Below are 23,694 nucleotides of genomic sequence, written 5' to 3' on the forward strand. Positions count from 1 at the left end.
GGTTCCACCTCTGTGGATTCAACCAACTGTGGATGGAAAATATTTGGGAAAAATTTCCACAGGGTTCCAAATAATAAAATTTTAATTTTCCACCTGTGGAGTACTACACTTAATCCATGCAAATGAAGTGATGTGTAGGCATTGTATTGGATATTATAAGTAACTAGAGATGATTTAAAGTATACAGGAGAATGGGTGTAGGTTATATGCAAATACTATGACACTTTATATAACGGACTTGAGCATCTTCTGAGGTTCTGAAACCAATCCCCCACGATAATGAGGGATGACTGTACTGCCACACATGTGCATGTACATACACAAACACACTCCCACCTACTAAAAAGATGATTGATAGGAAGAAGAAGGAGGCTATGCTTTAGGGAGGCTGCATTCATGGAAGGGATATTTCCTCTCTTCCCTCCCTGCTGGAGTCAAAACGGGTACTTTGTAGCCACTTGCAGAAACCTTTACCTCCTCTGTCCTCTCTCCAGGTTCCAAGGATCTGGTGCTGGGAAGGAAGGTGGGACAAAAATAGAGAAGACTGCTCCTTCCATTCTTGCACTTCGAGTTTGCAGAGGGATGTGAAGAGTTTTACACCGGATATAAGGGTCATACTTTAAAATAAACTGGATGAAGTTTTAAAGAAACAAAAAGAATCAAACTAATAAACAAAAGCAATCGAAAAGTTTTGAAACAAGACTGGTTTTTTTAAAGGGGGGCACTACTTTGTGTGAAAAGGAAGAGTGTAATAACATAACTAGGGACAATTGTAAAAAAGCAGTTTTATGTTTAGGCCTCAAGAAACCACTTACATATCCATTATTGTTAAAATACAATAGCATTTATCATAGTCTTCAACAAGTGAACCTCCCTGTCATGGAACCTGTGCTTGAATACCTCCATTCATATAGAGCTCACTAGCATACTGATGAAGTCTAATCCATTTTTTTGAATAGCTCTAACATTTGACTATGAAGTCTGAAGTGAAAAAATCTCCCAAATGCTGAAAATATTTCATTCTAACTACAGAAAAAGGAAAGAATTTCCATTAACTCAAAATGGTAATGACTGATTTGATCATCATAGAGAAACATGAAGGAATTTATAGGTTGGAAGTTTCTGTTCTTGTGGAGGAAGGACCTGATTTAAAGCACAGTACAAAAATCCCAGATTGTGGAAATAGCTAGTGACTGAGGGTGTCCTGGAATGCAAGAAAAATGAATATGTGGGGGAAGGTACAGAAAAGCACCAACATTGCCTTATAGTCCAATCTCGTCTCTTTTCTTTTAGATTTTGTCCCTGCAGAGCAGATGGCACATGGCCCCAGTGCTCTATTAAGTTACAGTAAATCAGAATGAGAAAGTCCCATACTAATCTGATAAGAGGCATCTACTAGTTGGATAAGAGCATTGACTTTAGAATCAGGTGAACTTGGGTTTGAATCAGCTCAATCCCTTGGCAGCTGAGTGACCAATGTAATTATCTCAGCTACAGAACTGGAGATATACGATACCTTTACATTCTGAGATCCCCTGATTCTAACATATAGTCTCTGTCTTTTCCTTCCCTTCACTACCTATTCACAAGAAAGTGAAATTTACACATTGTCACTATTTTCTTATTAACAGTCTGTATATTTTTAATTCCATGGTAAATTTAGAGTCTGACAAAATTGATTAAGCGCAATAATAAAATAAAATCACTCTATTAATAAATGTAGGAAGTAAAAAGTAGAGATTTAAAAAACCTGAGACTTTATAAGATTTATATAACTTTTAGGTTATCACCTAGTTTTTAAACTGCTATAAGACAAACAATCTATCAGTATTGAGAAAAATTTATAGTTCCAAAAACCTTTAACTTAATTTTTAAAGTCTAGTTAAAGTATAAGAAAAAATATGATTATGGAGTTTTTCAGTTATCATTTTTCATTTGTCAAAAAAAGAAAGCCCACATTTCATCAAAATATTTTACCAAATTCAAAATGTTAGAGACTTCTGACCATGAAGGAGTAAAAGGATCACAAACAGTCTCCACAAAAAAAAAATGAAAATAGCTATACAACTGGATCACATTGTCAGGACAATAATTCCAGGATCTAGAAATCAACCACGGGCAAACAGCAAATTGAGAAGCATGTATTCACCAGAAACTATGGAATGTCAGTTAACAGTAGGAGTCTGCGGAATTCCAGCCTGAAGCTATTATCCCCATCCACTGCCCTACTGGGTCAACATGGATATTTTACAATAGTGGCACTGGTCTTGAAACCAGCAGCTTCATTGCTGGAGGTAGCTGACTTGATTTGGAACAGAGTATGGAGTTCAGAAAGCATGTGAGTTAGAGAAAGCAAACAGCAACATGACAGATTCCAACCATGTCAATTAGCTGTAACTAGACTTAAACACTACAATCAAAAGGCAGATTATCAGACTGCACGCAAAGACCAGATCCAACCAAATGCTGTCTATAAGAGATACACTTTAGATACAGACATAAACAGGTGAAAATAAAAGGATGGAAAAAGCTATACTGTATAACCATCAGGGAGCTGATGTGGCTGTATTAATATCATACAAAAATACTTTGAAACAATAAATGTAACTACAGACAAAGAGGATCATTCATAATGGTCAGAGGGCCAATACATCAGGACAATATAGCAATCATAGCTGTATACTTACACACAGAGACAGAAAATACCCAAAGCTAAAACTGACAGAATTTAAAGGCAAAATAGGCAATTAAACAATTATAGTTGTATATTTTAATACTGTATTCTCAATATTTGATAGAAAAACTAGACAGAAAAAATAAAGGGGTATAGAAGACTTGAACAACACAATCAACTAGACCTGACATTCAGAGAGCACTCCACCCAACAAAGCGAAATACACATTATTTTCAAATGCACACACAATATATGCTAAACCAAAGAATACATCTCAATAAATTTAAAATTATTGAAATCATTCAGGTATTGTCCACAACCACAACAATAATCAATTAGAAACTGACAACATAAAGAAATTTAGGGACTCCACAAATACATAAAAAACAAACAACATACTCTAAATAATTCACAGATAAATGGAGTTATAATGGAAATTAGAATACATTTTGAACTTAATAAAAACACAACTCATCAATGTATGAGATATACCTAAAGCAGTGTTTTAAAGAAAATATAGCTGTCAATGTAAATACTAAAAAAATTTTTCAAATAAATAATCCAAACTTCTACTTTAAGAGCCTAGGAAAGAAAAGCCTAAGCAAGCAAAAGGAAGGAAAAACTAAAGATCCAGAAATCAATTACATAGATAACATAAAACAATAGAGAAAATCAATGAAACCAAAAGTTAGCTTATTGAAAAGATCAACAAAACTATTTTACCTGTAGCTATGTTAACCAAGAAAAGACACAATTGTTACACTCAAGAATGAAAGAGTAGACATCACTATGAATTCTTCAGAAATTAAAAGAACTATAAGAGAATATTTTGAACAACTCTATGCCAAAAAATTGGACAACTTAGATGAAATGGACAAATTCATTAAAAGATCTAAATCACTACAAAAGACTCATAAACAAAAATCTGAATAGAACAATAAGTAAATAATTGAATTAGCAATTAAATTCTTCCCACAGAGGAAAATTCAGGCCCAGGTGTCTTCCCTAGTGAACTCTATAAATGTTTTTGAAAGGAAATAATACTAATCCTACACAACCTTTTTCATCAACTAGAGGTGGAGGAACACTTCCCAACTCTTTGCATAAATTCAAACCCAAAGATACCACAAGAAAAGAAAACTATAGAACAATACTTTTCATAAACATATACCAAAAAATCATTACTAAAATAGTAACAAACATTATATAAAAATCAACTCAAGATGGATTACAGACATAAATGTAAAACCCAAAACTATAAAAACTCTGGAAGATAATCTAGGCAATACCATCCTGGATACAGGAACAGGCGAAGACTTCATGATAAAGATACCAAAAGCAATCGCAACAAAACAAAAATTGACAAGTGGGATCTAATTAAATTGAAAAGCTTCTTCACAGCCAAAGGAACTATTGACAGAGTAAACAGACAACCTAGAAAATGGAAGAAAATATTTGCAAACTATGCATCTGACAAAGGACTAACATCCAGCTTCTATAAGGAACTTAAACTAATTTGCAGGAGAAAAACAAACAACCCCATTAAAAAGTGGGCAAAAGACATGAACAAATACTTTTCAAAAGAAGACATACATGCAGCCAACAAGCATGTGAAAAAAAAAGCTCAAAATCACTGATTATTACAGAATGCAAATAAAAACCGCAATGAGACACCATCTCACACCAGTCAGAATGGATACTATTAAAACATCAAAAAATAACAGATGCTGGCGAGGTTGTGGAGAAAAGAGAACGTTTATACACTGTTTGTGGGAATGTAAATTAGTTCAACCAATGTGAAAGACAGTGTGGCGATCCCTCCAAGAACTAAAAGCAGGCTTACCATTCAACCCAGCAATTCCATTACTAGGTATAAACCCAGAGGAATATAAATCATTCTACTATAAAGACACTGGCAAGCAAATGTTCACTGTAGCACTATTCATAATAGCAAAGATATGGAATTAACCTAAATGCCTATCAGTAACAGATTGGATAAAGAAAATGTGGTACATATACACCATGGCATACTATGCAGCCATAAAAAGAATGAGATCATGTCTTTTGCAGGAACACGGATGCAGCTGGAGACCATTAGCCTTGGCAAACTAACACAGGAACAGAAAACCAAATATCACGTGTTCTCACTTACAAGTGGGAGCTAAAAGATAAGAACTCATGAACACAAAGAAGGAAACAACAGACACTGGGGTCTACCTGAGGGCAATGGGTGGGAGGAGAGGGAGGAGCAGAAAAGATACCTATTGCGTACTGGGCTTAATACCTGGGTGATGAAATAATCTGTACAACAAACCCCCGTGACACAAGTTTACCTATGTAACTTTCACACGTACCCCCAAACCTAAAATAAAAGTTTTTTTAAAAAGCTATAGTATCAAATATAAATTAAAGCAGTAAAATATACCACTTTTTGTGAAAGATGCAGAAAACAAAACGGTAGCAAACCAAATCTAACAACATATAAAAGAATGATACAACACATCCAAGTGAGATTTATCCCAGGAATGCGAGACAAGTTTAAAATATAAAAATTAATTAATACAATACATCACATTAATAGAATAAAGGACAGAAAAGCATATCATTGTCCTAATAGATGCAGAAAAACTATTTGACAAAATCTAATACATATTCATGATTTTAAAAAATTCAACAAACAAAGCATAGAAAGAAACTTCATCAACAAGGGCATCTAAGAGAAGCATTGAACAACCCCCACTTAAGACAGAACTAAGGCAAGGGCATCTGCCTGCTTCACTACTATTTATTATCAAACTGGAAGGTCTACCCACTACACTTAGACAAATCAGAGCAATTACAGGCATACAAATTAGAAAGGAAGAAGTAAAACTCTATTCACAGACTACAGATTCTTTAGGTAGAAAAACCTAAAGAATCTATAAAAGGAAGACAGACTAGATACTATTAAATGAATATAGCAAGTTTGCACAATTCATGATCAATATAAAAAAAATTCAAATGTATTTCTATATAATAGCAACTAAAAATTCAAAAATGAAAATAAGAAATTCTATTCAAAAATCATCAAAAAGTGTAAAATTCTTAGCAATGGGTTAATAAAAGAAGTGTAAAATTTGTACACTGACAATAATAAAATATTACTGAGAGAAATTAAAGAATATAAAAGTAGATGGACATTATATGTTTATGATGAAGACTTAATATTGGTTAACAAGAAAATTCCCAAGAATTGATCTACAGAAACAATAATATTTCTATCAAAACCCCACCAGGCTTTTTTTGTAGAAGTTGGAAATATGCTTCTAAACTTGAGAGGGAATTATAAAGGATCTAGAATAGCCAGAACAATTTTTTAAAAGAACAAAGTTGGAGGATTTACACTTTGAAGTTACAAACTTACTATAAAGCTACAGTAATCAAGACAGTTGGTACTAGCATAAATTGACATATAGACAAACAGAACAGAATTGAAAGACCAGAAATAAATCCTTAGATTTTTGATCAATTCATTTTTAACAAAGCTACCATTGGGAAATGGATGATCTTTTCAACAAATGTTTCCAGGTCAATTAGATATCCATATGCAAAAATATGACTTTCGGCCCTTACCTCAAACCATACACAAAGATTAACTCAAATAGGATTATAGACCTAGATGTAAGAGCTAATATTACAAAGACTTCTAGTAGAAAACAGGAGAGAATTTTTGTGACCTTAGATTAGGCAAAGATTAAGACACTAAAAGCATAATCCATAAGGGAAAATGATAAATTTGACTTCATTAAAATTAAAAACCTTTATTCTTCAAAAGATGCCATTAAGAAAATGAAGGACAAGTAATAAACTGAGAAAAAATATTTGTAAATCATCTATTGGACAAAGCACTTGTGACCAGAATTGATAAAGGACTCTTAAAACTCAAAATATGGATTTAATTCATCTTAAAAATTGGCAAAAGAATTGAATAGATATTCTATCAAAGAGGCTATACAAAGGACAAATAAGCACATGAAAAGATGTTCACCATCATCGGTCATTAGAGAAATGTAATTTAAAACTACAATGAGATACAATTCCACACCTGCTAGAAGGATTCTCATTTTTTAAAACTGCCGTACCAGGTGCCAGCGAGAAAGTGAAGAAGGTGGAACTCTCATACACTGCTGGGGAGACTATAAAGTTGTATGGCCGCTCTGGAAGATTAGCAGCTTACGAATGGATTAAACCAACACTTACTTTTGGATCTAACAATTCCATTCTTAGGAATCTACTCAAAGGAGTTAAAAACATATATTTATACAATCTTGTCAACTGATGTTCACAGCAGCATTATTTGTAATAAACAAAACCTGTCAATCCACTGGTTATTTAATAATCAAAATATGACATCTATAAAATTGAAAACTATTCAGATATAAAAAGGAATTTCAAAGGAATGAAGTTCTGATATCCACTACAAAAACACTGAGAACTGCATATTGCCTGATAGATCATTTACCTGTGGTTGGGGTGTGGGGATGGGTAGGAGTGGGCCATGACTGCACATTGACACAAGGGAACTTTTAAGGATTGCATAACTCTAAAAATTTTTTGAAAATCACTGAATCATATATTTAAAAGGATAAATTTTATGATATGTAAATTATGCCTTAACAAATCTGTTTAAAACTGTCATTATTAAACCAAAAACTTTTACTTGGAGCTGACTTCCTAAGAAAGTTTGTAATGAAAGATATCCTGTAGCAGAAAGACTCATGCATAATATGTTCAAAAGGGGTTCATTAATGTCAGAAAAAATATCAAATAATTATTCAATGCATGTGTCAAGATCTGAATATACCACTGTTTATAGTTTTCTTTTATAATAAGTAAATCTTATCAGAGTGGTTTACAATATTGAACAAAAAAGTATAAGTTGAATAGAACACTCATAATTTTGGATTTACATAATGTGTGTAGTTTCACAGTTTTTACTAACATTTTTTTCTGAAAAGTTCTCAAAACCAGTTCCATCACACTGATATGTTTTAATAAATCAGAAAGTTATAACTAGGGTACAATTCACAATTTGTAATCTGTCAATATTAAAATGTGATTAACCAGTTTGGTTCAATTAAAATGACTATAGCACTTGAAAATGTTTCTCTTTTTCCCTATGTCAAAATTTAATTTACCAAGGGCTACAGTGGATTCTTCACAACTGCGACCTTCTGAATACACTGACTCAAGATAAAAGCAAATAAGTGATTACAAATAAGCTAGATAATGATATCTAGGAGGCAATATATGAAAAAGCAAATCATATAATAAAAGTTCAGATATCCACTTTATTTGGCAAATTAGATATTTCAAAGTGTTTTGTTATGCCTTATTTCCATTTAGATATTGTACTGTAGTGTTGATTCACATGTTAACACTATACTATTACTAAAACAATGATAAATACCTGTCTATCTACTGAAGCCTTCTGCAAAATTAACAGTTTTTGAAAATTGTAAATACATGAAATGTGAAGATGAAGGAAGAATATATAAGGAATCAAAAATATTCTATTGTAATTTGCCCACCAAATTATCAAAAATTAAAACTAATATCCAATGCCTATAAGTGTGTGATGAAACTTGCCCTTACAGAAATTATGTAAAACACAGTCTGATAATATGACTCAACAATTTGAATGTATAGATGCTATTTGTCCAGTCAACGAAAAACAGTGGATGTCAACCAGGTGTTGCAGGAATGATTCAGGCCCTGGAAAGAGAGCATGTTCAAAAGCAAAGTAAAAGTGCCTGCTTTTATGAAGTTTGCTTTCTAATGGGCATGGGCAATTAAGCAAATAAATAGTATGTCAGAAGGTGAAAAGTTTATAAATAAAACTAAGATAGAATAAAAATGTACAGACTGATATTGGGGGAGCTATTTTATAAAAAGTGGTCAAAGAGAGCTTTTCTGAGAGACGACATTTGAGTTGAGCCCTAAAGGAGGTGAGAGGGTGCACTATGAATGTATCTCAGACAAGAGTGTACCAGGAAGAGCAAAGGGCAGATTCACAAGCCCTAGGGCCTGAGCATGCCTCAAGTTTAGAAGGAGAAGCAAGAAAGCCAGTGTGGATGGAGCCAGTGTGTGAGAAAAGAAAAGGACATGAAGTTAAAAAGATGGAAGAGAAGGGCCGAATTACAAAGAATAAGGATGTTTGATTTTACTCTGAGATAAAGGGCCAATGAAAGCTCTCAAACAGAGAAGTGACATGATCTAGCTTCCTCTGTAAAAGGATCACTGACACTGCGTGAAAAAGAGCAGAGGTGGAAGAGTGGATTAGGGAGACCGTAGCAGGCCATGGCAGGTGGGAGTATTCCAGATGTGAGAGATGACAGCAGCTCGGACCAGGGAGGTTGCACTGGATGTGGTAAGAAGTGATTGGATTCTAGATATATTTTGAAGGTAGATTCCACAAGATTTCCTGATGAATTGGATGTGGCTGTGAGTGAAAGTCTCTCAAGCTTTTAGAAGCTTCTGGTACAAGAAAATGACAGAATGGAGTTGTCATTGACCTAGAGGAGGAAATCTACAGGAAGAGACAGTTTTCCAGAAGGACAAAAGGGGAAAATTGAATTTGGTTTTGGAAATGTTCAGTCTGAGCAACAAGAGGTGTTGGATAAACTGTAGTTAAGTCTGGAGAGGTCCAGGCTGCAGATATAAATGTGGCACTAATCGGTAGAGCATGATAGATTGATGGAATATAGCACCATGATGCTGGATGTTATCACACGGGGCAGTAGCACAGATAAAGACAATTAATCTGAGAATTCAGCACTGGGACATTCCAAAATTCCAATGTGTAAAAATAAGGAGAAATCATCAAAGAAAACTGAGAAGGAGTAGCCAATGAAATAGATGGAGAACCAATAAAGTGTTATTCTGGAAGCAGTAAAGAAAGTGTTCCAAAAAGAAACTTTAAGCTAAATGTTGCTAATGGGCCAAGAGAGATAAAGATGGAGAAGCGAACATTTGACTTGGCAATATGGAGGCCATCAATGACTTTTAACAACAGCAGTTTCAGTGTAGAAAGGGAGATATAAAAAAATTATTAGAGTGGATTCAACATCAGATGGAAGCAGAGCAAGTGAAAACCATGAGTAGTCAACCTTTAAGGAGTTTTACTGTAAAGGAGAACTTTGACTTACAGGAGGATGACATAGGTTAAAAGATTTTAATTTTTATTTATTTATTTATTTACTTTTTGAGACGGAGTCTCGCTCTTTCGCCCAGGCTGGAGTGCAATGGCTGGACCTCGGCTCACTGCAAACTGCCTCCTGGGTTCACGCCATTCTCCTGCCTCAGCCTCCCGAATAGCTGAGATTGCAAGCGCCCACCACCACGCCCAGCTAATTTTGTTTTTGTATTTTTAGTGAAGACGGAGTTTCACTGTGTTAGCCAGGATGGTCTCGATCTCCTGAACTCATGATCCACCCACCTGGGCCTCCCAAAGTGCTGGGATTACAGGCGTGAGCCACCACGCCCAGCCAAGATTTTTATTTTTTTAACCTGAAAATATTATGGTACACTTATAGGCTGATCAGAATTATACACTAGAGAGGGAAAATAATGCAAGCTAAAGCAGGCACAATTTTAAGAGTGATGTCCTTGAATGACAATATACTTTAGTATACAAGTAGGGGATGGTCTTAGACAGGCGCACTGACAGTTCATTGACTATAGCAGAAAATAATGCAAAGTGTAGGAAGAGATATGTGGGGCTGTAGACATAGTAGGGAAGGGCTCTTTTTAGTAATTCACTTGCTCAACAAAGTAGGAAGCAGGGGGGAAGGAAGCATCTGAGGTTTGAGGAGGCAGGAAAAGGCTTAAAATAATCATTCATGGTTATATTTAGGTTGATGGGAACGTAATTGCAGTTTTCGCCATTACTTTTAATGATTTTAATTACTTTTAAAACAGCAACTATGTTGGCACCAACCTAATAGGAAGTGCAGAGATTGGTGGACAACAAATAGGGTGCACTTGCAGTTTGTGGTCATACGTTTAGGGTAACAGCAGTCAGTATAATAGTGTGTTTTTCTCCAACCGCAATCAGCTACATGAATGCAAGCATGAAATGATCAGAGTGGAATTTAACCAGGAATAAGATTTTTCGGGAAGTCTATACATGAGAGGGACAAGGGAGTTTAGTGAGTATGCAAGTGAGGGATATAATAATGGACTGTGGCATTTAAGCTTCTTGGGGGGACATGGGCACATGGGAGGAGCAGAAAGGAATGAGAGAGGCAGTGTGAAGGTACAAAGAATTGGAGGTCCCAGTAGGGAAGAAAAACTACTGTAGTTGAGGTGCTACAAGGACTACGCTGGAAAATAGGAGGCAGTGATGGAAAAGTTGGTCACTTGAAATTTAGATTTGACCCAGCATACTTACTTCTGGACATTTGTCCTAAGAAGAAAGACGAAATATGGGAAAGCTGTTTCCTAGTGTTTATAATAGCCCTAAACGATCTACAGCCATACCACTCTCAATACACCTGATCTTGTCTGCTGTGGTTTTATGAGATAGAATGTTATTTTTCCCAAACACTTTACATTTTCCTACTACCTTGCATATTCTCATACTTTTTCCTTGACTATCATTCTCCTTATTGCTACTTAATAAAATCCTTCAAGATACCAGGTAAATGCCACTTTTCCTACCAGTTGTTTCTTATTTCTCTATGCACTTGCAGAGGACCACTCAGGCTTTTTATCTCATTCTACATTGTGCATTCAGATGTCTAACAGTAACATTAAGATTCCTTGCTTAAGAGTTGGCATATGTTCGGCCCATTAAACTCCATGCACTCATGACCTTTATTATTATTGCCATGACCTGATGCCCCACTGCTTGATCATTGCTTTTAGAGGCTAGTCTGATCATTTCCTATCATCTTGCTTTGCCTTGCCAATATCAATACAGTTGCCCCATGACCAAATCCCTTTAGATTTGTGAATTTTTTTGTCCAGTGGGATAATTTCCAGTCTTGACCACAAAACTTCAGGCTTCCTCTCCTCTACCTATTTCATACTAAATTGGACTACACTATAATTATTTATACCAATATCTAATTATTTATGTGATTATTTGTGTCAAAGTCTAACTCTCATACTAGCTTTTAAGTGCTCGACTTCTTAAGGTTTACAACTATATTTTTATCCATCTAAAAAAGCAAGCATCAAGCTCTAAATATGATAGAAGCTCAGTACATTTTATTTTGAACAGGTGAGTGAGTTTGTGAATGAGTGAACTGATGGATGATAAATGGATCTCTTTATACTTTTGGCTTTCAAATCTAAACATCACATAAAATTTTTAGTAATAGCAAGATTCTATCAAACTTTCTGAAATTCTGAGCTTAGCTCCAACCTATTGATGAAAATTATTTACGGTTATAGATCATATTATAAATTATCACTTTTGCCTATCTGACCTTAAAACAACTCTGGATGAAGAGTAAAATATTCACCTTGTGAATTAGTTTCACTTAGAGAAGAATCAACTTTTCTGTCATGAGCTTTAGAGAAGAATCAACTTTTCTGTCATGAGCTTTTGTGAACAATAAACTTTTGTTTATTGTTATATTTTTAAAACAAGGCTAACTAAATTTTTTTGATGCAGTGAAACATGTTTTTATAAAGTCTGATTCTCAGAAAGATTCTGTGACAAGAGATATCCACATACTAAAAAGTCATTGGCACTTCCTTTGCTATGCACATACTAAAACGTGTGGGGAACTACACAGTTTCCAGGCTTAGAATCAGTGTCAGTGTAATGCCCACATGTACAATTATGGTGGCAAAAAAAAAAAGGGCAGGGACCAGCAGGCTTTTCAACCACACTTCTTTTATTGCATAAAACATCTACTCTGTGCTTACATCATCCTAATCATTACAACAGCTGTAAGACCCCAAACAACAAAACACTACCAGAAACTTACAAAACAAAAACTTTAACAATTAGTCAAAGCATGCCTTGCTATACCTAGTTTTTAAATCACCCCTTAACTGCATAAATTTTAATCGGCAAGAGGACTTTCTCGACTAACTTTTTTTTTTTTTTGGAGAGACAGTGTCTTACTATACTGGTTAGGCTGGTCTTTTTTTATATATATATACTTTAAGTTCTAGGGTACATGTGCACAACGTGCAGGCTTGTTACATATGTATCCATGTGCCGTGTTGGTGTGCTGCACCCATTAACTCGTCATTTACATTAGGCATAGCTCCTAATGCTATCCCTCCCCGCCTCCTCACCCCGTGACAGGCCCCGGTGTGTGATGTTCCCCTTCCTGTATCCAAGTGTTCTCATTGTTCAATTCCCACCTATGAGTGAGAACATGCAGTGTTAGAACTAGAAATACCATTTGACCCAGCAATCCCATTACTGGGTATATACCCAAAGGATTATAAATCATGCTGCTATAAAGACACATGCACAAGTATGTTTATTGCGGCATTATTCACAATAGCAAAGATTTGGAACCATCCCAAATGTCTGTCAATTATAGATTGGATTAAGAAAATGTGGCACATATACACGACCGAATACTATGCAGCCATAAAAAAGGATGAGTTCATGTCCTTTGTAGGAACATGGATGGAGCTGGAAACCATCATTCTCAGCAAACTGTTGCAAGGACAGGAAACCAAACACCACATGTTAGGCTGGTCTTGAACTCCTGGCCTCAAGTGATCCTCCTGCCTCAACCTCCCAAAGTGCTGGGATTACATGTGTGAACCACTGAGCCCAGGCATGGACTGTATTTTGCAATGCATGCTTTACCACTGTTTGAAGAAATTCCAGATCATGGCATGTGAACAATTATATAAACAGAGAATGATAATGTTCCTTAATTTGGTGGCTTTGTTAAGTCCTTCAGAAATGTACATTCAAAACAATCGAGGTAGGCTTTAAAGGAGCATTCAAAATCATTAACTGAGTCTTCAACTGAGTCATTTATTATAATTTGAAGAAGGTTGAATGGTCTTTACTGGGATGTCTCTTGAGCAAAGGTAACCTTTTATCATCTACATATCCAAAAGCCTTAGAACTGTCAATTTTGTTCTCTCATCTAAATGTGTAGTAAGCTTACAAGATCATTTGGATTCTACAAAAAAAAAAGAAAAGAAAAAGAAACTGTGTAGACTATGGACTACACAGAAAGATTTATACCTTCTGTTACTTAATATAATTGATCATACTCTCCACACCCAATGCTCAGCCCCTCTGCCCAACCACCATCCCTTAGCCCAGATAATACAAATGGCGAGCCCACAGTTTTGGCTTGCAGACATGAGTAACTGTTTAAGAAACATACTGATGTCAGCATTGTGTCTTTTATGGTTTTCTTCCCATTGTCCCTTCACACTCTCTGGATTTCTTTGTCTCCACCCCTGGATGAATCCACCTCCCACAGACATTCTGGCTCCTTTTAGTCACAAGATGGTTCTCATCTCAGAAGTCAAAATGCCCAACGACCAATGTAATAATCAGAATTCCATTTTTTTTTTCAAAGCGAAGAATCTGAAAAGCCTTACCCTCCCTCCCAAGCCCAGGCCTGCTTCCACTTGGAATCTTCTTCCTCTCCAACTCTCCAACTTACTAGGCTCCAGGGGAAAGGAATTAGGAGAAACAGCACACTTTTATATAGCAGATGCAATTGGTTCCTTGTGTTGGTTCCTTCTAGATGCTGAATTTGTCTCTTGTGAGATTCCCTTCTCCCAACAGAATTCTTGGATTTTTTTAGCTCTTTCCTCTGTGGTCTTCTCACTGCAGTTTCTAAGGCTATCCTCTACCTGACCATTAAGGACTCCCTTTCTCATCCCTAGCTTCAGTGGTCCACTCTGTCGGGGGTGCTCGGCACTTCCAGGCAGTCATCTTAGGCAGGATCTCTTGAATTGGTCCAGGCTGACTTCTTTCTAAGGTGCACGTGGCCGGCAGAGGGACACGTGCCCCTGACATTAGTACAAGCCCATTGGATCTTCTTTCTCCTTGCTGACAAAGGCAGCTCCAGTCACAGTCTCTTGGCTTTAGCCTTTTCCTTGGGGTGGTAAGGGTACCTGCATACTGACAGAGCTCACTTCAAATAAATCCTGAAATCCTCCCTTTCAGTATCTCATTCGATACAGACCAGAGGAGGCCTGTCTCTAATGCTAGAGAACCCATTTTGCACTCACTTAGCTATCCTCTATGGGTGGTCCAGCATGTAGAATCTGGCTTTGGTTGGCACCTTTTGAAATTTTCTTGGCCTTCAGTGCTTCAGCCAGGGCTAAAATGGAACCAATCCCATTTTAACATGCTGTAACACATGGGTTTTATTTAGTCTTCATAGTGTTGACCCAATCAGTGATTTTTAACGCTGTGATTTGTTTGCTAACATTTTTAAATCAAAGGATTATATATTTTAAAATATGGACCTTTAACTTTCCTCTAAAAGAGAAAGTAAAGGCCCCTTAGCCTCCTGCCCCAAGAGGCAACAAGTAGTCTCTGAGCTGCTACAGTCAGCAGCCACCCCCGCTCCTTCAAGTATGGCCCCTGATAGAATTTGAGTTTGAGACGCCTGTCCTATCCCTCTCTCCATCCAAATCCTACCCTTCATTAAGATTCATCTGAAATCTCCTCGAGAGACAGACTGATATAAAAGAAAGAGCAAAAATATTTAAATCCCACTCTATAGTCCAATGTCAGTATAATTTCATGAAGTTATCTAATCTGGAGTGTCAATGCACTGTTCTTCAAAATGGCAAAGGCAATATTACTTTACAAGGCTTGTATGGAGATTTAGTGGGATAACAAATACAAAGTTGCTGACATACAACAGATATAAGTCCTCTCAACCATAAAGAAAAACACATATCTTCCAAATTTTATAATGTACCCCCAATTAATAGGAATTTGTTTTATCTACCCTATTAGAGGAAAGACTGTCTTTTATTTTTTTATCTCTTAAGTAACCTAGTTTAATATTAAACATGTAATACAGGTTCATACACTCACTGCAGAGATATTACTTAAGAGATAATATTAAACTAGGCTACAAAATATTGTACTAGGCTACAAAATATTGTCCAGCATTTAAATACTACCAAAGACTGCTAGGAAAAAAAGCCTTAAAAGGAAAACATGTTGATCACATTGTTATTGTATTTTAGATAATCATTCCATTTGGAAAACAAATTGTAATGTGGTTATGTATCTTTTTTATTATTATTTTCTTAACGAAAAGAAGCAGTAGAAATAAAAATACTGAAAGTGACAAAAACTGGGATCTGGTTATAGCTCTGTCACAAACCGTTATTATGATAGATAATTTAGGTTGACTCATTCTATTTGGAGAGATTTGAAAGCTAAAATCTATATCCCTGGGCCATTTTAGCTAGGCTTCTAACGTGAATTAGGTACTGCCAATTGAAAGGGGCCTGAAAGCATTTGGAAGGCAAAGTGAGGAAGAGCCATCTTTCTGCTGCTATTTTGGCTGACAAACAAGGTCATGAGACAATTGTATTGGCTGGACTTTGCCTTTGCATGTCTAGCCACTGGCTCCATAGGTATCTAGAGGCAGCGGACTGATAGCAGCAGTAGTGATGGCAGCCCAGAGGCAGTAGCTTCCTGACTGAATCACAGCTAAGCTTTTAACTTGCTAATCCAGTAGTGGCCCTGACTTCCGGCTCCTATAGACATTCCTGTGATTTTGTAAGCAACTAATTCCTGTATTGAATCCCTTTCTGTTTCAAATACCAGTGGGTTTTCTTTCCTGCACTGAACCCTATATGATACAATTACTTTAAGGTTACTTATTTTGGCTTCCTTATATGATAAATGGAGTTGGTATATGGTCTTACTTCACAGAGTTTTCCAGACAATTAAAGTGAAAAAAAATTTTAATTTATTTTAAATTATTGAAAAACTTTAGTGCATCTCTTTTAACCATGGCCAATTGAATACATGTATTTATCATTGTTATCTCCTAAAACTCCACTAACATGACAGTAAAAACAAAACATGTTATAAATCCCTCAAAAGGACAGTGTGAATAGGAAAGAAGTAACAAAATCCAAGAGAATCAATTCGTTTTCGGGAGTGTGGAAACTAGGTGGAGGGGTGGAAACCTTAGCAAAGGATGACAGCAGAAACAAGGGTTTCACCCTAAAGATCCCTGAAAAGATGCAGGAATTGAAGGCACCAGGTATCACAGCAGTCAGGGAAGCAGAGTGGTGCTGAAAGTGGGGTTTTGGCTATGTAAAGACAAGGTAAGTCCTTAATTTCCTCCTCAGTACCTGGTAACTATTGTTCCCATGTCGCTTTGGGAAACAAGGTGTTTGTTTTCTTGTGAAATTAAACCACAGAGGTGAGAGAGGTTAAACTTCTATTCTTAATAAGTAAAAACTACATAATGAATGTTATGGCCCCAACGTTTTTCCTCATTCCGTTCTAGAACAGACACAAAAAGGCTTAGACATACTAGACAGGATATTAGATTATTTGCCCTTATAGAAAATACATAGCTCCAAAGAAAGACCTGTGGACACAGGTACCGGCATTTGGTAACCACCCAATTAAAAGACAGAGCACCCGGCAGGGCGCGGTGGCTCACGCCTGTAATCCCAGCACTTTGGGAGGCCGAGGTCGGCGGATCACGAGGTCAGGAAATTGAGTCCATCCTGGCTAACACCTTGAAACCCCGTCTCTACTGAAAAAATACAAAAAAAATCAGCCGGGCGTGGTGGCAGGCACCTGTAGTCCCAGCTACTCGGGAGGCTGAGACAGGAGAATGGCGTGAACCCAGGAGGCAGAGCTTGCAATGAGCCGAGATCGCGCCACTGCACCCCAGCCTGTGCGACAGAGCGAGATTGCGTCTCAAAAAAAAAAAAAAAAAAAAAAAAAAGACTGAGCACCCACCACACTGTTATGAAGCCCACTGTCCATTCACACTGAATGTCAATGAGCTCTGCAGTGTCTCACTTTGCAATGCGAGAAGGCAGCCAAGAATCACCAAACCTCTGAGGAAAGCCTTTAACATGAAAGATACACTGAAGTGAACACAAAGAAAGTGGCACTCCAGAGAAAAAGTCTATTCATATAGAAGAAGAATTGTTAATCAACTAAAACAATTTCAGAGCTATAAAAATTATTATATACATAGCAAAAGAATGGAATGCTACAAATAAGAATCAAAGTAAGAATGTTATCAGGTCTCAGAAAAGTATTAGAAAGGCTGAGAGATAGATGTTAAAGTTTTGTATTTTTTTAAAAAGGCAAAAATTGGCAAGAGGAGAAAAAAATATAAGAAAATTTCAGGCTTAATCCAAGAGGTGCAAACTAAAAATCCCAGAAAGAAAAAAAAATAAGAAAAAAAGTTATCAAATTAAAAAAATGAAATATTCTCCATACTGAAAGGCATGTATTTCCAGACTGAAAGGCATGTATTTCCAGACTGAAAGGACCAGTCAATTTCCCAGTATCAAAATTACCCTAAGGCCGGGCGCGGTAGCTGACACCTGTAATTCCAGCACTTTGGGAGGTCGAGGCAGGCAGATCATGAGGTTAGGAGATCGAGACCATCCTGGCTAACACGGTGAAACCCCGTCTTTACTAAAAATACAAAAAATTAGCCGGACGCGGTGGCGGGCGCCTGTAGTCCCAGCTACTTGGGAGGCTGAGGCAGGAGAATGGCGTGAACCCGGAAGGCGGAGTTCGCAGTGAGCGGAAATGCGCCACTGCACTCCAGCCTGGGCGACAGAGCGAGACTCCATCTCAAAATAAAAAAATAAAAAAATGACCCTACTAAGGTTTTTTTGGTTTTTGTTTTTTGTTTTTTTGAGATTGAGTCTTGCTCTGTCACCCAGGCTGGAGTGCAACGGTGCAATCTCAGCTCACTGCAACCTCCGCCTCCTGTGTTCAAGCAATTCTCCTGCCTCAGCCTTCCAAGTAGCTGGGATTGCAGGCATGCACTACCATGCCAGGCTATTTTCTTTCTCTTTTTCTTGTTTTTTTTTTTTTTTTTTTTTGAGACGGAGTCTTGCTCTGTCACCCAGGCTGGAGTGCAGTGGCGCGATCTCGGCTCACTGCAAGCTCCGCCTCCCGGGTTCACGCCATTCTCCTGCCTCAGCCTCCCAAGTAGCTGGGACTACAGGCGCCCGCAACTGTACTCCGCTAATTTTTTGTATTTTCAGTAGAGACAGGGTTTCACCATGTTAGCCATAATTTTTGTATTTTTAGTAGGGACAGGATTTTACCATGTTGACCAGGCTAGTCTCAAACTCCTGACCTCAAATGAGCCACCAGCCTTGGCCTCCCAAAGGGCTGGGATTACAGGCATGGGCCACTGCACCCGGACTAAGGTTATTATCACGAAATTCCCGAACAGCAGAAATAAGAAAAATTCCTGGCTTATGAGGGTTGGGAAGAACATCACACAAAAAGAAGACTGAAAGGCCTCAGGCTCCTTGATAGCAATACCGAGAGTTAAAAGGCAATGAACTGGTATCTGCAAAATTCTGAGAGAAAGTATCTTTTACTTATGTTTGAACCAACTAACCTGTATCAAAATAAATATATCTTCACATATGAATTCATTTTTACACATGTATTTCTCAAGTGCCCTATCTCAGGAACTATTGGAGAAGCTCATCCCCTAAACAGGGTAAACAAGAAAGGATGAGATCCAGGAAACAGCAAACGCAATTCATGAGAGTGCTGGAGGGATTTCCCAGAATGAAAGCAAAGGGCAGTCCCAGGGGATGGCTGTGTCTCCAGCTTTAGCGAGTCCCAGTTGGAGCTGGGGGACAAAGATTTGAAAAACAATACAATACCAATTAAAAACAACAAAAACAAAATGTCTCTAAGGAAAAGAGTGGGACAGAAGAAGCACATGATGGTAATATATTGAAGGGTTTTGCACTTCTTTCGGTGAACTCAGAAAGAATTAGTGATAGGTTTGCAGTAATCAAGTCCAACAAAGTAACAATTAAAATGAGATATTTATTAATTCCAGGAAAAACAAGAAGTTATACTCCATAGGAACATATTCATACTTTACTACTTGGCTCAGAAGTGAAGCCAATTCAGTCATAAGACTACAAACCTCAAATACTGATTCACTGAAGTGGTCATAGAACTACATTGGGAGGAGGGTCAGTCAGGAGGGGGTGGCAGGAGCTTGGTCTAAAAATGCTCAACTTTCATCCATGTTATATGAAATCAGTAAAGAATATTTAAAATAGATAAATCAAAAAACAACAACATTAAATTATTATTTAAAAATAAGGAAAAGCAGAAAAAGGATCTCCAGGAGCTGAGAAAAGTTTAATCTATCAGCCAAAAAATGCAAAGTATTACTGATGGGAACATCTCACTAAGGGTCCAAGAATTGCAAGAATTACTTTGGGATAAGCAGCCTGACACTAAACTTCAAATAAGAGCCACCCTCCAATGCCAAATAAGAAATTCAACCAAAACTTCAAAAGATTTTTTTAAATATTGACATAACTCACATATAATTATCCCCAAATTAGCTTATTGCATGAAAACAGAAGATTCCATTTCCAAAAGGCCAAAAGTAGATGTAAAATCTATCCAGTGACCTCAACATGGCAGTCTTACAACTGTTTAACATTGTGACCCAGCAAATTCTATATATAATGACACTAATTGTGACAAAAATCAAAATAAACAATGACTTTCACTTCTCCTCACACCTGATCAACACTGTATTGTAGTTAGTGAATAGCAGTTGCATCTACACCAATGTACATAATTTTGTATCATTGTTTTATGTGTGTATGTGTGTAGCTATTTTGTTATAAAATTTCAACCAAAACGAACTTCAGTCTTGGTAACAAAATCATCAGAAAAAGGAACAATTAATTGCTTGCTGAGCATGTGCAAATTTACAAAACAATTTGGCTTTTCAGATGGAATTTGAAGGCCTGAATTATTTAAGTCAACTGAAACTACTACTACTGTGAATAGAGGCACAACGACCCTTATATAGTGACATAATCATCACATCCTTCTGGTTAATAACATATTTCACAGCAGTCCTTCATTGCATGCTTGGCCTGTTGCTACTGATCCATACTTTAAATTTGCCATCCACCACCATCAACACCACAAAGAATAAAGCTCAGTCACTAAAGCAAGGTGAAGGAAAAACCCTGTTATGAGTTTTGATGACACTGTTTAAGTGTAACTTCTATTGTTGTATAGGCAATACTTTAAAAGCTGTGGTCAAGGAAAAGCATCCTAAAAATTAGATCTGCCTGCTTTGTTTTCTTTTCAGGAATAGCCATGCTTTCAAACAGCCTCTTCTGTTTTGAAGAGAAAGCCTCCTAATGAAATGTAAAGGTGCTCACAGAAGTCTTCTACAGAGGAAAATAAAATCTCCTACCATATATTCATTTCACAAATTATATTTCTTGTGTAAGCTTGTCTAATTCAATATGTGTTTATTATATCATTTTGTGCCTTTAAGAAGAAAAGGTCACTGATTCTAGTGCCCTATTCTAGCAATTCATTACCGTCTTCTCTACCACCAATTCATTGACCTCACCCACTTTCTCCCTGTCCATACTTCCTCCCATGTCCTCATTTCTCTCCCTACCCAACTTAGATCTCATGGTCAATCTAGGTTTAACACCCTGTCCTTTAAAGAGGCCCTCAAGCTCCAGTTTTCCCTCTCTTCATCCATCACACTTATGTTTTCTGGCAAAATATGAACTCTGTAAACCTAGTTCTGAATCTGCCCTGAACCTCTGAGCCTGCATGGAAACAGCTGAACTGAACGTAACAGGAAAAAAGGCACACAGGGACACAGATCTGACTTTAAATACGACACCGCTGGCAGGCCCTCAGACTGCCTGCCCTGTCCACCTCCTGTCCTCAGCCACACTCCTCTCAGGTGACTCCATCTTCTCCTCCTTCCTCAAATGCCTCTTCAAATAGCCTCTTCTTTAATTTCGCTGAGTAAATAAAAGTAACCAGAGTTTTCACCTATCTATCTGCAAATGTTCCCAAACATTCTGTCTTCCCTCTTGCTATCATAGATAAGCCGCCCTGCTCCTAGACTTAGGTGACTGCTGAAAGAGGTAAAGACATAAGTCCCCTTACTGCTCACCTACTCTCTTTCGTGTGTGTGTGTGTGTGTGTTTGTGTGTGTGTCTGTGTGTCTGTGTATCTGTATCTGTGTCTCCATTGTTTTTCTTACTCTCTACAGACCTGTAAATGTTAGAATGCCAGAGAGCCCTCGATCCTCTTCTCACTTATACCAACTTTCACTCCCTGAACGTTCTCATTGAGTCCTGTGATTTTAAATACACCCATATATCAACAACTCCAAAATGTATGTGTTCAGCCCTGACCCCCTATCTGTCCAGCTATGTATGTATTTGTTAAGGCCACTTGAGCATCTAATGGGCATCCCAAAAGCATGGATTTAAAAGAGGTTTTTATTTCCACAGCCATCCTCCCCATTTCAGGAAATAGTACAAGTCAACAATCCCTTTTCCACACTGAAAATTCAAAAACCCTAAAAATCAGACTTTTTTCATTTGGCAGCAAAACTTGGCCAGACCTGAGCTCATCTGACAGCAAAACCTGACCTGAACTGAGAGGAGAGCATGTATTAAGTGAATACTTATATGTTTTGTTGCAGATTTGTGCCTATGGAGCTACCCCAAACCCCACTGGGAATATGTGATGATTTTTGAAATAGGCACATTATTACCTTTCTAAAATTTGGAAAGTTGTGAATTTGGTTCACATCTGGGCCCAAAGGTTTCAGGTAAGGAACTGTAGACCCAGTTGTTCAGGTTCTCTCTTTCTCTCTCTCTCTCTCCCCCTCCCCATTCTTTCTTACACACACACACACACACACACACACACACACATACACACACACACAGCATTGTGCCTCATTCTCTTCCATCCTTTAACCCCATATCCATTTCATCAGTGCATTCTGTCAGCTCTAATCTCAAATATGTCCCAAATCTTCATACTTCTTACCACCTCCAAAGGCACCAATGTCACCAAAGCTACAGAACCTTCACGTGGACAAAGGTCAGAGCCTTGTGACACATCCTCCTATTTTTAATTTTGTCCTTCCTTGCCTCTCCACTTCTTAGCTTTATTTTCCACAAAATGGTCAGAGAAGTCTTCTTAAAACATAAATCAGATCTGCCACCCACCCTGATGCTCCTAAGGTGAAAGGGCTTCCCATCATGCAGGAAATAAAATCTTGACTTCTTATCAAGGCTTGCTGGATCTTGGGTCATCTGACTTCTGCCCATCTCTCCACATTCAATTATTCCACTCTTTCTCCTACCTGTACTACAGCCCTTCTGCTCTTACTGGTTTTCTTCAAACAGGCCAAGTGCACCCTGCTTGGGGTGTGTGCCCTTGCTTCCCTCCGCACACCAAGGCCAATGCTTCAGGCCTTGGTGTCACTCACTATTCACTTCATTAAGGTCTTTCTTCACAAGTCACCATCACGAGAAGCTCTTTCCTGACCACTCTGGTCTAAAATACAGACTTTTGAAACTCCCAAGAGTTTGTTGCTGTACCGTTTTATTAAAATTACATTATATTCTTTTGCCTGATTATGTAACCCCACCATCAAAATATACACTTCAGGAAGGTAGGGATCGTATCTGGACTGTTTATTGTTATATCCCTGGTTCCTAGAGTAATGCTGGAACTCTCCATGCGCCAGTGAATGAATATTTGTAGAATGAACAAATAATTAAGTTGTATTAATAAGTCAACAGAGTTGAGTTAATAAAAGAATATTAACCCTACTTTCCAAAGTATCTCAATGTTTTTAAAAGTATCAGTATAGTCTGGATGAATTTGGCTATAACTTTTTTTCTGAATGACACTCATTCTTAAGATAGTTCTAACCAGTGGCTAAGATTACCATAGTGTGACTCACGCTGTATACATTAGTGTTTACTGCTATACCCACAAGACATACACTTAA

At 37.3% G+C, this 23,694-nt stretch overlaps 1 protein-coding gene across 17 annotated transcripts in view, besides 2 other annotated features; it reads right to left on the minus strand.

Annotated features, from left to right (window-relative positions):
• PDE1A (phosphodiesterase 1A) overlaps positions 1-23,694 on the minus strand; it is a 576,757-nt gene that overhangs the window by 340,430 nt on the left and 212,633 nt on the right. The gene's annotated exons all lie outside the window — the stretch shown is intronic.
• Positions 18,957-19,087: a silencer, noted in NCBI's record as "fragment chr2:183364154-183364284 (GRCh37/hg19 assembly coordinates)". NCBI's record gives its function as "represses an EF-1alpha promoter that drives an FKBP-Casp9 reporter gene in an ReSE screen in HepG2 liver carcinoma cells {active_cell/tissue: HepG2}" and the evidence as "EXISTENCE:reporter gene assay evidence [ECO:0000049][PMID:32094911]".
• Positions 19,180-19,738: an enhancer, noted in NCBI's record as "NANOG hESC enhancer chr2:183364377-183364935 (GRCh37/hg19 assembly coordinates)". NCBI's record gives its function as "activates a minimal SCP1, AML or CMV promoter by ChIP-STARR-seq in naive H9 embryonic stem cells {active_cell/tissue: H9 hESC(naive)}" and the evidence as "EXISTENCE:reporter gene assay evidence [ECO:0000049][PMID:30033119]".

The sequence above is a fragment of the Homo sapiens genome, chromosome 2, assembly GCF_000001405.40.
Source record: "Homo sapiens chromosome 2, GRCh38.p14 Primary Assembly".
Taxonomy (NCBI): Eukaryota; Metazoa; Chordata; class Mammalia; order Primates; family Hominidae; genus Homo; species Homo sapiens.